Source organism: Homo sapiens, chromosome 11 (genome assembly GCF_000001405.40).
Source record: "Homo sapiens chromosome 11, GRCh38.p14 Primary Assembly".
Classification (NCBI taxonomy): domain Eukaryota; kingdom Metazoa; phylum Chordata; class Mammalia; order Primates; family Hominidae; genus Homo; species Homo sapiens.
In genome coordinates, this window is record NC_000011.10 from 126958308 (window position 1) to 126975579 (window position 17272).

General features: G+C 41.9%; 1 protein-coding gene across 17 annotated transcripts in view, besides 1 other annotated feature; it reads right to left on the minus strand.

Moving 5' to 3' along the window:
* The window catches only part of KIRREL3 (kirre like nephrin family adhesion molecule 3), a 580037-nt gene that overhangs the window by 534950 nt on the left and 27815 nt on the right, over positions 1 to 17272 (minus strand). The gene's annotated exons all lie outside the window — the stretch shown is intronic.
* Positions 10658 to 11191: an enhancer, noted in NCBI's record as "NANOG hESC enhancer chr11:126838861-126839394 (GRCh37/hg19 assembly coordinates)". NCBI's record gives its function as "activates a minimal SCP1, AML or CMV promoter by ChIP-STARR-seq in naive H9 embryonic stem cells {active_cell/tissue: H9 hESC(naive)}" and the evidence as "EXISTENCE:reporter gene assay evidence [ECO:0000049][PMID:30033119]".

A 17272-nucleotide genomic window follows, 5' to 3' on the forward strand; every position in this document is an offset into this window, starting at 1 on the left:
TGAGTTACATAGAATTACCCTCTTTCTGACATTGGCCAAGTGTCTATAAGAGGCTCCTCCATTTGAGCCCAACTCCCATCCTCTGGCCCAGGGGGGCCCTTTCTCATCAGCCACATTGTGTGATGAGGTCTAACAGAGACCCACATTCAAGATCCTGAGACTGGCCAGCCTGACATTCAGCCACACTCAGCACTTGGGTCAGCCCCATCCCTACCTGGGTGTGTTCACTCACTCTTTCATTCTATCCAGGGATATGCCTGCCTCTTTCACTAAATTTGATGGTATGAAGTGGTCTTCATTTGTGAATTCATCTACAGTGCCTAGTGCAGTGTCTTTCACACATAGTTTTTCTGCTTAATCATGATAACCTGTGCACATAAAGGCACTCAAACACTCATGCAAAGCATCCCTAGCAAAGGGTGGTTAGTGTGGTTTTGGGGATATTTCCTATAAATTAGAGCATTTCTCCTACTTTTTAATACTTTCTTAGTCTTCTTTGTCCCTTCTTCCTCCTCTAAGTGCCCCTTGTGATGGTTAATTTTATGTGTCAACTCGACTGGGTTATAAAATTCCCAGATATTTGGTCACACATTATTCTGGGTGTGTCTGTGAGGATGTTTTTGGATTAGATTAGCATTTTAATTAGTAGACTAAGTGAAGAAGACTGCTTTCCTCAATGTGGATGGGCCCCATTCAATCAGTTGAAGGCTTGAATAAAAAAAAGACTGACTTCTCTCTCTCTCTCTCTCCCCTGAATAAGAGGGTACTCTTCCTATCTGATAGCCTTGAGCTGGGACACCAGTGTTTCCCTGCCTACAGACTCTGGCTAGAACATTGGCTGTTGTGCCAGCTTGTGGACTAGAACAGCTCTTCTGGGTCTCTAGCTTTCCAACTGCAGATCTGGATATTTCTCAGCCTCCATACTTACACAGACCAATTTTTAAACAGTAATTCTCTTTCTCATCTATCTGTGTATCTATCTATCTATCTAGTCTATCTCTGTATTATCTATCTGGGATAAAGACACACATGTGCACGTGCATGCGAGTGTGCACACACACATACACACACACACAATTGGTTCTATTTTTTTCTGGAAACCCCTGACTCTTATACCCCTAAATGTTGTTGTTGTTGTTGTTGTTTTAGCCAGGGTTCTGTCTTAGCATTTTCCCCTCACTCTGCATGCTATACTTGAATAATCCCACTTTCTTCAATGGCTCCCAAGACCACACTTATGTTGGAAAATTCCAAATGTTTCTCATCACTCCAGATCCCTCCTGAACTCCAAGATACAACCTCATATATTCAGCCATCATCTCGGTATTCCTCCTTAGATATCTCAATGTTCTCCCGAATCAGCCTGTCCAAAGGAGATGGCAGCACTCTCTACACAAGCCTGCCTTTTCCTCCCCTGCTCCTGATTTCACACCTTGCCCTACCTTTCACTCATTACCCAACCTGGGGGCCACCTCTTCTACACTCTCTGAATCCCATTAGTCCTCCAGGATGTGGACTGTGCCTCCAGGACCCCTCTCACAGCTAACCCCTTCCCTTAACGGCCATTAGCACTGCTATAGACCACGTGTCACCATTGCTCGTACTCACTGCACATGTTTGTATAAGCCTTTCTACGCTGGATTCTGTACTCCTTCTGGGTAGGAATCCTCACTGATCCACTGTTTATTGTTTTTTTAATCCCTCAGTTCTCAGCAATGTACTTAGCCAATATTAGATACTTAGCACATGACTGACATCTGAATGAATGATTGAATGAATGAATGACTTCCCTTGGAAGTCCATGGGGTATAGGGAAGGAGGCAGAGCATATGATAAGAACTTGGCCTGACGCAGGAGACAAGAAACAGAAATAGAAGTCAATTTGTTTGCCATAAATAAATAAAAGGCAAATTCTCCTTGATTAAATTTGAAATGAGGAAAACAGAAACAAGCAGTTATCTTAAGAGCAGGGTAGTTTAATATCCTAACTACCTACCATGGGATAGGACAAACTCTGCTATAGAAGGTTTTTGTTTTGGGGTTTGTCATTTTCAGATATCCAGCCGAGGACACTGAACCAAACGTAGTTTTTCTAAAGAGGCCCTAGGTTATATTTAAAGTTCTCCCAGTGCTCACTCCCTGGGATCTTAAGACTTTGATTTAAAAGACAAGCACAGAGCAAAACTCCTGAAGATCAATTAATCTAACTCATCAAGACGGATCTGATTTGAATTGCGGTTCCAGGCAGCAACTAGTAGTCCAGAGACAAGACTGCTGAGTTGGCTGATGGGTAGAGAGAGCACAGCCTCAAATACCCTGCAAAATGCCAGACAGAAGGCTGACAACTAAGCAAAAAATTCAGATTTTGTAGATCTTACTTTTGAAGAACTCCACCCCTCTCTTTTCTTTCAACTATTTATCAATGTATTTTTTTTTCACTTACATGCACACCTTGTTTTATTGTGCTTTGCTTTATTGTTCTTCGCAGACATTGCATTTTTTACAGCTTGAAGGTTTGTGGCAACCCTCTGTCCAGCAAATCTATTGGAACCATTTTTCCAACAGCATGTGCTCACTTTGTGTCTCACATTATGGTTATTATCCCAATATTTCAAATACTTTCATTATTATTAGGGCTATTATGGTGATCTGTGATCAGTGATCTTTGATGTTAATATTGTAATTGTTTTGGGGTGCCACAAACACACCATATGAGATGGTGAGCTTAATCAATGAGTGTGGTGTGTGTTCTGACTGCTCCCTCAACCAGCCATTTCTCATCTTTCTCCCTTTCCTCAAGCCTCCCTATTCCATGAGACACAACTATATTGAAATTAGGCCAATTAGCAACCCCACAAAGGCTTCTAAGTGTTCAAGTGAAAGAGTCGCATGTCTGTCCCTTTAAATCAAAAGCTAGAAATGACTGAGCTTAGTGAGGAAATCTTGTTAAAAGCTGAGATAGGCCTAAAGCTAGACCTCTTGTGCCGAATAGTCAGCCAAGTTGTGAATGCAATGGAAAAGCTCTTGAAGTAAATTAAAAGTGCTACTCCAGTGAATACATAAATGACAAGAAAGCAAAACAGCCTTATTGCTGCTATAGAGAAACTTCTGGTGGTCTGTATAGAAGATGAAATCAACCACAACATTCTTTTAAGCCAACACCTAATACAGAGCAAGGCCCTAACTGTCTTAAATTATATGAAGGCTGACAGAGATGAGGAAGTTGCAGAAGAAATGTTGGAAGCTAGCACAGGTTGGCTCATGAGGTTTAAGGAAAGAAACCATCTCCATAACATAAAAGTTTAAGGTGAAGCAGTAAGTGCTGATGTAGAAGCTGTAGCAAGATATGCAGAAGATCTAGCTAAGATGCTTGATAAATGTGGCTACACTCAACAACAGACTTTCACTGTAGATGAAACAACTTTTTATTGGAAGAAGGCACCATCTAGGTCTCTCATAGCTAGAGAATAGAAGTCAAGGCCTGGCTTCAAAGTTTCAAAGGACAGGCTGTCCCTCTCATTATGGACTAACATAACTGGTGACTTTAAGTTAAAGCCAATGCTCATTTATCATTTTAAAAATCCTATTGCCTGTGCAGAGTAGATTGGAACAATGAAGGCTGAAGGACAGCACATCTGCTTACAGGTTAGTTTACTGAATATTTTAAGCCCACTGTTGAGAACTACTGCTCAGAAAAGAAGATTCCTTTCAAAATATTACTGCTCATTGACACTTAACCTCGTCACCCAAGGGCTGTGATGGAGATATGCAAGATTAATGTTGTTTTCTTGCCTGCTAACACAACACCCATTCTGATTTCTATTTCAAATCAAAAAGTAATTTTGGCTTTCAAGTCTCATTATTTAAAAATACATTTTGTTGAGGCTCTAGCTGCCTCAGATGGTGATTCCTCTGATGGATATGGGCAAAGTAAATTGAAAACCTATTGGAAAGGATTCATCATTCTAGATGCCATTAAGAACATGCATGATTCATGGGAGGAGGTCAAGATAGCAATATTAATAGGAGTTTGGAAGAAGTTGATTCCAATCCTCACGGATGACTTTGAGGGGTTCAAGATTTCAGTGGAGGAAGTAACTGCAGATGTGGTGGAAGCAGCAAGAGAAGTAGAATTTGAAGTGAAGCCTGAAGATATGACCGAATTGCTGCAATCTTGTAAGATTTTAGTGGATGAGGAGTTGCTTCTCATGGATGAGCGAAGAAAGTGGTTTCTTGAGGTGAAATGTACTCTCAGTGCAGATGCTATAAACAAAGTTGAAACGACAACAAAAGATTTAGAATATCCAATAAGCTTAGGTGATAAAGCAGCAGCAGGATTTGAGAGGATGGACCTAAATTTTAAAAGAAGTTCTATTGTGGGTAAAATGCTGTCAAACAGCATCACATGATATAGAGAAATCTTTCATGAAAGGAACATTCAAATTGATATGGCCAACTTCACTGTGGTCTTATTTTAAGAAATTGCCACAGCCACTCCAACTTTCAGCAACCACCACCCTGATCAGTCAGCAGTCGTCAACACTAAGGCAAGACCCTCCACCAGCAAAGAGATTATAACTCGTTAAAGGCTCAGATGATTGTTAGCACTTTTTAGCAATAAAGATTTTGTAAATTAAGGTCCATAAATTGCTTTTTAGACATAATACTATTAAACACTTAATAGACTATGGTATAGTGTAAACATAACTTTTATACGCACTGGGAAACAAAAAAAATTGTGCGATTTCCTTTATTGCAATGCTCACTTCCTTGCAGTAATCTGGAACCAAACTTGCAATATATCTGAGGTATTCCTGTGTTTGGAAAGATCTAGCCAAATAAAAAATAACCTTTTATAGCCTAAATGGCTGAGAGCACTGATAAAATAATGGAGAAGACAGGAACAGTTGTGGAAGAGATCTAGCCTTCTAACACTTAGTTTCCTGAAATAAAGGAAGTGTTAGCCTTCTCCCTTGCCATCCTTCACCAAACAGAACACACATACACACACACACACACACACACACAGACACACACACAGACACACACACAGATTCTTGAAAGTTTGGAAGCACTGATGCTTGCAAATAGGCCCATTAAAAGAAGATAAATCAACTGGAAATGCATAAAAAGTCTCATTTATCATAAGACGTGTTGGACAGGGTTTTGAGTTTTACATACATTTATTCTAGAAATCTGTTTATCTGTGCAACGTTTCTGAACAAAATGCTTTGTGACGAACCATCCTCTCCACTTGAATCTATATGGAAAGCAATTAAGTTCAAACCCCGAAGACAAAACATGATAAACACAGCAGGCATGCTATTGATTTGGAATTTCACAACTGCCCTTCTTCCTTTTGGATATCATCTCCTTATACCCCAAAAGGCCTCCTATACCTCCTACACTTATGAAATGTGTTTCTTACGTCTTCAGCCAAGGCAACTTCCCTGACTACTCCCTGAGGACTACAAACAATGAGTTACTTCAACATGTCTGGAGATGATTAACCTGAAAGTGGTTAAAAGTGCCACCCCTGGAGTGAATGACTTTCCTCAGCCCAGCCAGGATATGACTCCAATGCCAAAAATTTGCACATGTCCCATTTCCCCACCTGCACTTGTCCATAACGGAAGAGGGATGTGTATTTGAGCGAGGGGAGGTACAGAAAAAATTAGAAAGCCACTCAACTTATCCATATTACACTTTCAAATCCCTTCAGTGCAAGGGACCTATCTCATGAATTTTTTCATTTTCCATCTCTAGCAATTAGTGGGCAACTACAAGGTTTGAGAAAGAGAAAAACTTCATCTGTGCACAGGGCCTGGCTCAGTAGTTTCTTAATAAATATTCAATGAACAGCTATTGAATGACTAAATCTGTACATACAAAGCAGAGGATTCCAGCCCAGCTGATAGACTATTCCAGCCATATTCATAATCTGGGGTGAAAGCAACACATCTGTTCCATCATGAAGAGTGTTATTGATTAGCATGGTCAGATTGGTGTCCACTGTCTGACATCTGCAGACACAGGCTGGGTGGCATGTGGGCAACACCCCCTTCTCCCCCATAGATAGATAGTTTTAGCTCTTCAGTGAATATAATTGTCAGTGTGACAGACTCTAGTAGGAGTTTGCCTAGTCTGCACTTTATTCCATGTTGGGTAGGTCCTCCTAGAACCCCTCCTCCAAAGAAGAGAAATAAGAATCTAAGATCAGGAATTCTCTTAGAAACACTACAATAATCTCTCCTCAGCATTTCTGCACAAATGCCCAGGGGTACACCCAGCAACCTCACCCCCTGAGGGCCTGCCAACAGCTTGTGCTACAAACTCCTGCAAATAGGATTTATTAGAACAGAATCAAGTGACAGACTCAGAACGAAGGCAGCACAGATGAAGAAGACCCTGAGGTTCTATGCAGATGTTGACTTTTATCAAGGTCAACACTGAGATTTATTGACCCAAGAGGTAAATATTGATGGAGGCTCAGGAGGTCAATATTTGCCCCAAGGTGAATAAATCTTCCCAATGACCCTCAAACAGAAGTCTGTATAGAGTAGACTCAGTTCGAAAATGAATTAGCTGTGACATAGATTAAGATACTATTTCATTAGATTGTCTAGGGCATTGGAAAGCAATATTAATACTAAGCACTTCATGTTCAAAGTACTTTCCAAACATTCATTAAAGTGCACCTCCCTCTAGCAGATGCATAAAAGTGTTGTACTCCCAACTCAACAGATGGGATATTAGAGCCAAGAAAAAGTTAAGTAATTTTACCTAGGCCACAGAAAAAGCGGCTCAAGAACAGAGAGATAAAATGGAGATAAGTGTGAGTTAGGAGCTCTGGGGATGAGCAAAGGTCTACAGAACAGTGTCTTAATTAACATTCCTGGTCAAATTAATAAGTCCACTTGGTTTGATTACTTTCATTTAGTTAATTTATATCCCATTGTTCACAAATCTACTTAGGCTGTTCAATTGTATTGCTTATTTACAGAGATGCTTTTCGGCATTTACCCATGATAAACTCTACCTTTGGACATCGGTACTCAACTCTTAAGAAGTGAAGAGTGTGTTAGTGGTCACTGGGAAGGAACAGATTGGTTTATCCATGTATTTGCATAATCATTATCATCACATTCTAATTCTCATACAATACCTCTTCTCAGTAACAAGATGCTGGTACTGAGAAACCAGTATCCTGGAACCCTATTGTGAAAGACTAACACGTGCGTCATTGCCATTTGAATTCACGGATCCAGTGATCCCTGCTTTTGCATTGTCTCAAAACTGAGCTTTAAATATTATAAAATTTTGGTTCTTTGCTGATGGAGAGGTCAGAGCCATGGATAATCGAAACCTCAGCCAAAAGAAGATCAATAAATATTATTTCCTTCTGACTTTGGAGTGCGTTATTTTCCCGTGTTTTACGTTGGCCTTGTTGTTTTTCTCTGGAGAGTTAACATCAGAAAAGAGTGAGTGCTTCCAGAGTGCCAGCGATGATAGCCAGACAGGTGACAGAACTCGATGTGTGTGGGTATCAGGTCAGCAGCTTTGAGGTTGTGCCATGTAATCCACAGGTAGGTACTTGAGTGGACTGGCCTCAACTTGTAGAATTTAGAGTTTTCAAAGTTACTTCAATCTACTTTAAATCTTTGGAAGGAACAAATGGGGTCTTGAGAGTGTGACCATTTGGTTCACTTGAAAAGGAAACAATTTGACTTGAAGAGATGTAAATGGTTAGCTGATGCCAGGGTCTGAGGAAAGAATTTAGGAATTTTGACCCCAAGCTGCTTAGATACCTCATTATTTTATCCTGCAATAGGATTTTGGAATTGTAGCTGTTACCCAGATAAGTAAGTGATACCAATATGATCTGATACTGTTACAAACGGTAATTTGACTGACAATAAGGTACAGACAAATGAAAGTGTTTACAGGGTTTAATATTTAATAATGTAAAAGGAAAAAGTCGGCAAAAGCAGGCTGGAGATGAAAAGATCTGTATCGAGTCAGAATTTTTGCCGATTGTCAGAGCAGCATGCGTCTCCTGGGGACCTGAATAAGCAAGCTGCTGTTCTGCAGAAATTGTTATCTTGGGCGTATTGATTGAGTGTGCACCACTCAAGCTGTCAGTTTCTCCCTCCTATCCTTGCTTTATATTTTACATCATGGTATCCTCCTAAACTCTCACATACTGCCTGGCCTTCACACTTTAGGCCGCAGAACCGTGGTGTACTCTCGAAGGAGACCTAGGTGGTGTGCCTGACGTGTTAGTTCTGTCTGTGAGGAGCATCTCAGTGACTCTTCTCTAGGGCATACTAATGGGCTCATTCTGGAGGTGGCTGGGTGCTTTGAGTCTAGAGACATGCCACTGGCCCTTCTCTTAACTAGCATGGCCAAGATACCAACAGACTTGCTCCGTGGACAGTTACTTAACCTGTATATGCCTCGGTTTTCTCATCTGTAAAATGGGAATAATGCTTACCTTACAGAACTCTCAGGAAGATAATAAACCTAAAACAATCAGCACACTTTCTGACACAGAGCTGTCCTCAGTAAACAAGAATGACTGTTATTTATTAATGCAGTCCACAGAAATCTGTAAATTAAATAAGAAACTGTTTAGATTGCAGAAGACCTAGCCCTAAACCCAGAATCCCAGAATTCTTGAGCGAGAAGGGCATTTGAGAGGTGATCTTATCCATCTACCTGCCTTCTCTGTAAGCCCAGAGAGCTGACAATCTCTTTACTTTCAAAAGCCATTAGAAATGACTCTGAAACTTTCTCTGACCCGGAGCTCAATGTTTGTACAACCTGACAATAGCTTGAGTAGCTCAAACACCTCTGACACCTGGAGCAGAGACTGGAACCCTTTGTCCAGCTCTTCCTCTTTGTGCGTAACACTGTTCTATTTCTATTAGCTTTTCTTCAGCAATTTTACTTTCCTCGGTGCTCCTTCACCATGCCCGCACATCCCTCCAAAGAGCACTGCAAGTTCTAACAGCCCCTGGAACCTTAGAGAACAGGAGAGCACCGTGCTAATGAGACCAAAGTCAACAGGTTGCTTCCTACCAGGGAATAACTTCCCACAGGGAAGATCTGCCTTCTGGCCTCCAAACTGCAGCCTTTCACTTCAGGAGCTGCCTTGCAATAATAATAATGATCACATCTAACCTTCAGGTGCCCTTTTCTATATTTGAAAAATCTCCACATCTCAGCTGATCTTCACAGTAACCCCGAGAAATGCCACCACTGGACTTGTTACATCCATCTCAGAGACAAAGAAGCAACCGCAGAGAAATGGCCAGGATCGTGTCCTCAGAATGAGGCAATGTTCACTCAAGCCCAAGCCTTCTGAAAGTGAGCCCTGGGCTCTTTTTCTTCACATTACACAGCAAATGAAAATGGTAGTGGTTCTCAGGTGGGGGCGATTTTCTCCCACTCCCTCCCTGGGTACACTTGGTGATGTCTGGAGATATTTTTGCTTGTCGCAGCTGGGGAGGGGGCTTGCTACAGGCACATACTGGGTAGCTAAACCTCTTACAATGCACAAGACAACCCCTCACAACAAAGAATTACCCTGCCCAAAATATCAATAATGCCAAGGTTGAGAAATCTTGTCAGATTTATAGTAAGAGGACAAACAACAGAATCCAGCCACCTGACTACCAGCCAAGCCCTATTTTCCTGCCTATCTTACTAGGCCAACTTGCTTCCCCCAAAGAAACTTCATAGACATTTGCAAAGGACTTTGGGATACTCAGAAAAAAGTTAATAGCTAAATGTAGAGTTGTTGGATTTTGTAAAGCTGTTGGTAAAGTTATTTTCATTTTGCTTTTCAAATTAGTTTGGGAGTTGGTGTTCTTCTTTACATAATTACAAGCTGACAAACATGCTTCTGTATTTTTTTTAATTAACAGATATATGTATTCAAGTTCTCCAAATTACATGCCACAGCTTGCATATTACAGGACAGCTGCCATGCTCCAGATGTAGGCAATAACCAGAACATGGTAATGGCAAAATGCAAAAGAAAGAAAGGGGGAAGAAAAGAAGAAAAGAAGGAAAGGCTAATGTATCAGGACGGAGAAGAGCAATTTCAATCAATGGGTTTGGATTTTTTACAGAGATGAATACCTTAGATTCTCCCAAATTTTCAGCTCAGTTTGAACATTTGGGATGAAGCTGTCTGGGTCATTCATTGCTGCCATCAAAGGCTCACCAGCGCCTTGTAAAAGCAGATTACAGATGAAATGGGGCACATATAAATGCTAACAGCGTGCTGGAGAAACTATTCAAATTGCTCCTGTTTACAAGTGCCCTATTAAATGTGCTCAGCTCCTCCTGAAGAAAGCTGCTCTAAGCTGGGTAAACTGCTATATTTATTTTGCCCATTTATAACACGGCAGCCCCTTTTGGTCACTCAATCCCAGGTGCAGGCTCTGTCTGGTATCCACAAATCAGGAACTCTACAGGATGGGGCTCTGCAGTGAGAAAGGGGCAGGGGCAGTAGATGAAAGTCCCAGTCCCACACCTACCAACTAGCTTACTGTGTGACTCTAGGAAAAGGACTGTACCTCTCTGAGACTCAGTTCCCTCATCTGTAAAAAACGGGGCATGACTGGACAACCTCTGAGGTCCCTTCGACTCTCCAGGTTAGGAGTGGTTACATTTTTGAGTATCTCTGCAGATACGGGAAAACCCTGCCTCTCCTTGCATAGATGTCAGAAGTAACACTTCAGGCGGGGGCGTCTGAGGTTCGCGTGTGAGGGAATCAGGTGCATTGCACAGTCATCTCCTGCTCAAGACAGAGGAGGGCGCTCAGGGGCCAATCAAACGACTTCTAAACCGCGAAAACAGGCCTGGGGCAAAAGAGTCCGTAGATACCGCAGTCAAGGGGCGATTCACTCCATTTACTGACACAATAGACATGGAGTGCCTCCCATGGACACAGGGAATGAAGGGATAGACAGATGTCCTATCTTTGGGAATGCTGGCCTTCCAAGGAGAGAGTTGTCCACTGGGGAAAACGCCTGGGCAATTCCCTGCAGTGTGGCAGGTGTGAAGGTGGAGGTAAGTTTGGGGTGCTATGGGAACTCAGAGGAGGGAAAAAAGCCACTGAGGAGGTGACACCCAGCGGTATCTGGAAGAATGAACAGGTGTGAACCAGGGGAAGAGGGAGTAAGAACGTCTCCTGAGGGCGGAGGCTGTGGGTAGCAATGGAGCATGGTGTGTTCAGAGCCAGCCAAGCAATCCCACAGGAGAACACAAGAAATATCCCCACGGCACAGCCTACCCAAGTGAATAAGGCAGGAAAGACCTGTGAGAAGTGAAAAGGCTCGGGTGAACTGTGATGGTAGCCATGATGCTTTTCCACGCCCTTGATGACACAGGCTTATTTGAATAATTTTGCAGTGGGACCTGGCTCACTTTTGTAGATCCCTTCAAAGCTGGAGATTGGTGCCTTCCGGGATTCTGCCATTGAAGGAAGGAAAAAGGTAGCAGACAGCCTTTCCCTTCTCTTCTCCTTTCTCTCTACTCTGCATGGAAATGCAAAATGCTGGAGTCCAAACACATTCATAAAATAATTTTGTAGGGCTGGTAGTTAGTTCCAGCAAAACCATTGAGGGGAAACAAAGGAAGTTTTGTGTTAATGTGACTAGTGTATGACTCTATCTGAGTTAAGACAACGCAATACGAAAGAAAATCTGGCTAAAATTAGCCTTCTTCTACCAGTCACAGCCAAGCTGCCCTAGGTTGTCACCTAGGGACGGAACAGGAAAATGCAGCCTCTCTACCACTGCCCCTGCCCCCTCAGGGATATATCATGCATTTGAAAAATTCTTTCTTCTTTCAGTTTTTCGCTCTTCACAGCTCAGTTAATTCCACTTAAGACACTCTTGTTTCCCCGTATTTTTACTCATTTCCTTTGGTTTCCTTTTTGTTTTTCTTAATTTGAGCTTTCTCAGGAAGTTCTCTTCTTTTCCTTCTTTTCTTCCCTTTCTTTTCTCTCTCACATTATCTTGTTTATGAAACACTGCTCTTTATTAAACACTACATTAAACACAAATAGGTAGGCATAAGGTTAAGTGATAGTTGTGCCAATAAACAGAAGACCCTAGGTGTGTAGCGACATTAGACAAAAAGTAACCAGTACCATCAATCTTTAAAACCCCTACAGTGCCCTGTCAACCCCACAGAGGGTCCAGAAAAAAGTCATGAATTGTACCAGTATATTGTCATCTAAGGAAATCTGATTTTTATTAAGTATCAAATCACAGAACACGTTTGCTTTTACTTTTGTGTACTCAGTTACCGAATTGCTAATGAATTTACTAATGTTGTGATGGGATTTTTTCTATTATATGTAAAATGATAAACATACAGCATTTCAACCACATCCCTAGTTAAGTAAAATTTTGTGAATTAGTGAAGGAACTCCATTTAATTTAGAACATTGCTTCCATGAGAACAAGGTTTTCCTAGTTTCAAATAAGTGATATCTAAGGACCCATAGAAACACTTGCAAATTAGGATCCAATGAGGCTCACCTGCTGCCAGGTATCTACGCAGCAGGAGAACCACAAACAGAAGCACATGGCGGTGCTATGGCTTCTCCCCCACCCACCAGTCTCCCTTACAGTAGCTGCGAGGTGCACAGGTAGTTTTAGGATTTAACATGTTTAGTAAACATTGCTTTTCCATTTTCCTTTTATTTATTGTTCCCCACTCTCAACAGTGTTTGCCTTCCTTCCCATCTCTTGTCATTTCCCTCAAAGAAGCAGATTCTTATTTAGGTGGTTTTTGACTATTTACGAGTACAAAGTATTATCTACATTTCTGATGACATGAATTCCAGAAACAAAACTGAATAAACATTATGAAAAGGGTAATGTTTGGGAGGTTAAACCATTAGTGAAAAATCATCAAGGTATGCTTCTGATTCTTGAATGAATAGAGGTGACAGAGGCAACTCATTCAGTGCCCCAGTTTTCCCAGCTATAACCTGAGAATAATGATCTTTATCTAAAAGATTGTAATCATTACAAATTGCTTGGAAATTCTGAAGAGATAACAGCTAGGTGTGAAAATGAGAGTTGTAGAAACCACTGGGAGCTGGACAGGGTTTTTATGTTCTGTTCGGGGTGTTGTCTTCCCAGGCTGTCATTTGACCTTTGGCATCATTGAGTCTCTCTCTTACTGAGTTCGGCACCCATAAAAATATGATCACATTACATTAACTCAGCAGTCCTATAGGAGAGTGAGTTCCTGTCGTGAGAGCACTGAAAGGAACCACAGAAATGAAAATATCATCAGTCCGATTCTTCACTTTGGGCCCTATGTAAGATATTATTAGGGAAGGAACTTGTCATAAATCGTCTGTAACCCAAATTAGCAAAGGGCATCGAAGACGGTCCTCTGAATCTTTCCTATAGTCCATTCAAAAAGCTTGCAGGGAAGAGGCAGGAAAATCTTGCTTATTTTGATTCACTTGCATTGATTTTCCAAATAAGCCTGTTCTGGGTGACTTGGGCTGAGTGCTTGGTACAGAAAAGATGACAAGCAACTGAACTCAAGGAGGTAAGAGCAATGTCAGAAAAATCCATTCAGTCCAGGATAGACAGATTAGTGTTTGTGAATTTACATGGCCCTTTATCCAATTCATAACTATAAACCCACTGCTGCAGAAGTGACACACAAGCTCATCTGATTTCTCTTGTTTGGAAAGTTGAAATCTCCGGATGAGTTAGAGGGCATGATGCTTCAGTGCCTTTTTCACTGGAAAATATCACAGGGTAAAATGAATTTGTACATTTTCCCTAGACCTGGTGCCTATGCAAGAGGGTCTGGTAGAGAGAGAGAGAGAGAGAGAGAGAGAGAGAGAGAGGACTGTGCATACACATTTCCACACACACTGATCTCCCCCAGGAATCAGGGTAAAAGTCTCCAGATGTGTCAGGGTGGATATTTGCTATACCTTTTGGCTTCCTAGATTGGGGGTAAATTATTCCCTCTATGAGTCTTTGTGGAAACAAGGACTCCTTCCCACTCTATGCAAAAGCTGACAAATTCCAATCTTAGCTTTTCCAGCCTCCCTTGCAGCTAGAGTGCAAGCCACCATGATTCCGTCACTGCTAATCTGACCCACTTTCCAGGCCCAGCCACAGGACTTAGTGATGCTGAGAAAAGGGTAGGCCAATATTCCTTCCAGCAGAGCTGGCTGCTGTGGAAAGATCAACACAGTCACGTTACTGAAGGAGCAGGCATTCTGACCACGGTCTGGGATATTATTTAGGCCACCACAGAGCCTGGCTCCTCAGCTCTTCTGACATGCCCAATGTTGTTTTCCATTTAAATCAGCCAGTTGGCTTCTGTTGCTTGCCATTAAAGACCCTGCCTGACACCGTGTCCGTATTTGATTGCGTGTATGCCACATGTATGTACACACACCTTCTCTTCCTTCCCTACATATTCTTCTTTCCTTACCTTGATCAATGTTATGGTGCACCTAGCTAAAAACAACTGCAGAGGAATAAAAAGGAAAAAAAGTCATTTTTTCATTTTCCGCCATCGTGCACATAAAAAGGGACAGAAAAGAACGAACAATGTGCTGCTCTGGTTGAGTTGATAGCCTTAAATTCTACTCACCCTTTCACTCAAGGAGGACGCCAGCCAAAGTCAATGGGAATTATATTTGTATAACTAAGGGCATTGCTGAACCCAGAGAGACTGGAGAACAATTTAGCAGACAACTTATTCCACTGCCAACTCTAAGTTTTGAGGAAAAAAAAAAAAAAAAAAAAGACAGAAATTGAGTCCCGAGGCCAATCTGCATGAGCATGTTAGTCACGGGTTTCTGAATAACAGGCTGAATGGCCCTGGCATACAATTCCACTCATTTTTATGCTGAGGGAGTCTTCTTAGGGCTTCTATATCACCAAGATTACAGTCCCATATTGCCAAGTTCAAGCTGACCCAACCAATGTAGACTTAGCCTCAGGGGCCACCATTCAGTTGCATAGAGAGCTGCCTAAGGCATGCATTCCTTCTCTGTGTGAAGGCCAAGGGACTGCAGGGGTCAGGGGAATCAAGTCATGAGGGGATAAGGTCAACTACTTGGAAGTGATGAAGAGTTCTGGCTGCTGCTGAAATCATTGTTCAGAGCTTAGGTCTAGATCCATTTCTGTTACAGACTATCATGGTGACCCTAAGAAAGTCACTTCACCTCTCTGAATCTCAAGTCACTTGTCTGTAAACAGAACTAGCAGAAATGGCGTGAATTTAGGAGACAGAAAACTCAACTTCAGAACTTCAGTTTTGTTATTTACAAGTTTGTGATCTTGGGCAAGCAACTCAATAGCATTTTTATTTCAGCATCTGTAAAACAAGAATAATAATACTTTTTACAGAGTTTGGAAGAATTAAGAGTAATGATATACACAAAGTATGCACTACACTGCTTGGCAAGGAGGGACTCAATAAATGTTAGTTGCATTCATTCATCCATTCATCAAATATTTATTGTTGCTCCCACTGTGCCAGGTACTATTGAAATCCTGGGAATATAGCAATTTATGTGACAGATAATGTCCTTTCCTTCCCTTGTGGTACTTGCATTTTCTCTCCCTACCAGAAGAGTGAGATTCATGTTCCAAGGGCAAGACTAGGGCTCATGTTTTCTTTAGTTGTCCTGTGTGCTCCCTGAGGGCAGGTGCCACATCTAGCTCTGCTTTCTGTGCATAGGAGGTACTCATTGCACGTTAGGGGTTGAATTCAGTTACATAAGATGCAAAATATTGCAAATGCCATCTCCACAAGTAAAACATTTAAAGCACTTTATGCAACATGCTTCCACAGACTTGTCCATCTCTTTGTTTCAAATGTTTACTCCTCTTTTCTATAGAGCTCATCACCATCTTTCCTTTCCTATCTAGACCTCTCTGACTTCATTATTTCTGTGCTGTAGTCAAATAATGTTTTCAATAACAGTCATGCATCACTTAACGGAGATACGTTCTGAGAAATGCATTGTTAGGGGACTTTGTCTTTGTGTAAGCATCATAGAGTACACTTACACCAACTTAGATGGTGTAGCCTATTACACACCTAGGCTACATGGTATAGCCCGTTACACACCTAGGCTACATGGTATAGCCCGTTACACACCTAGGCTACATGATATAGCCCGTTACACACCTAGGCTACATGGTATAGCCCATTACACACCTAGGCTACATGGTATAGCCCGTTACACACCTAGGCTACATGGTATAGCCCGTTACACACCTAGGCTACATGGTATAGCCCGTTACACACCTAGGCTACATGGTATAGCCTGTTACACACCTAGGCTACATGGTATAGCCTGTTACACACCTAGGTTACATGTATAGCCTGTTGCTCCAGTCTACAAGGTTTGGCTCTATCACCCAAGCTGGAGTGCAGTGGCACGTTCTCAGTTCACCACAACTTCTGCTTCCCGGGCTCAAGTCTTCCTCCCACCTCAGCCTCCTGAGTAGCTGGGACTACAGGTGTGCACCACCATGCCTGGCTAATTTTTGTATATATTTTTAAAGGCTTAATGTGACTTATTTATTTATGTATGTATTTATTTATGATGGAGTCTTGCTCTGTCACCCAGGCTGGAGTGCAGTGGCTAATTTTTGTATTTTTTGTAGAGGTGGGGTTTCACCATGTTGCCTAGGCTGGTCTCGAACTCTGGAGCTCAAGCAATCTGCCTGCCTCTGTCTCCGAAGTGCTGGGATTACAGGTGTGAGCCACTGCGCCTGGCCTCAAAACACTATTATTATCTTATAAGACCACCGTCATATATGCAGTCGGTCCTTGACCAACAGCTATGTGGCACCTAACTGTATTGTACTTCTTCAACTGAGTGGTAAGAATGTGAAAATCCTGGAGGTCACCTTAGTTGAGGCTTTCTTCCAATTCAGCAAACCCCTTTATGTCATCTCTGATGCACTATTATCCATCCTCCATGTCAAGACAGCTGTGAATAGAGGGTTGACTGCCCACAAGGCCCACTTACTTCATGTTCACAAAGCTTTCATTCTTGCAAGGTTCTTTCTCCTACCCCCCTGAAATTTCCTTAAATAAGTATTTGCTGACCACCTACTGTGTGCCAGAACCATATTCACAACCAGGGGTACAGAAGTGGGACTACCAGTATTCCTACCCTCCAGTAGCTGCTAGTCCAGTGGAAGATTTGTTGATTAGAATTCTGCTCTCTCCACATAAAAGAGGC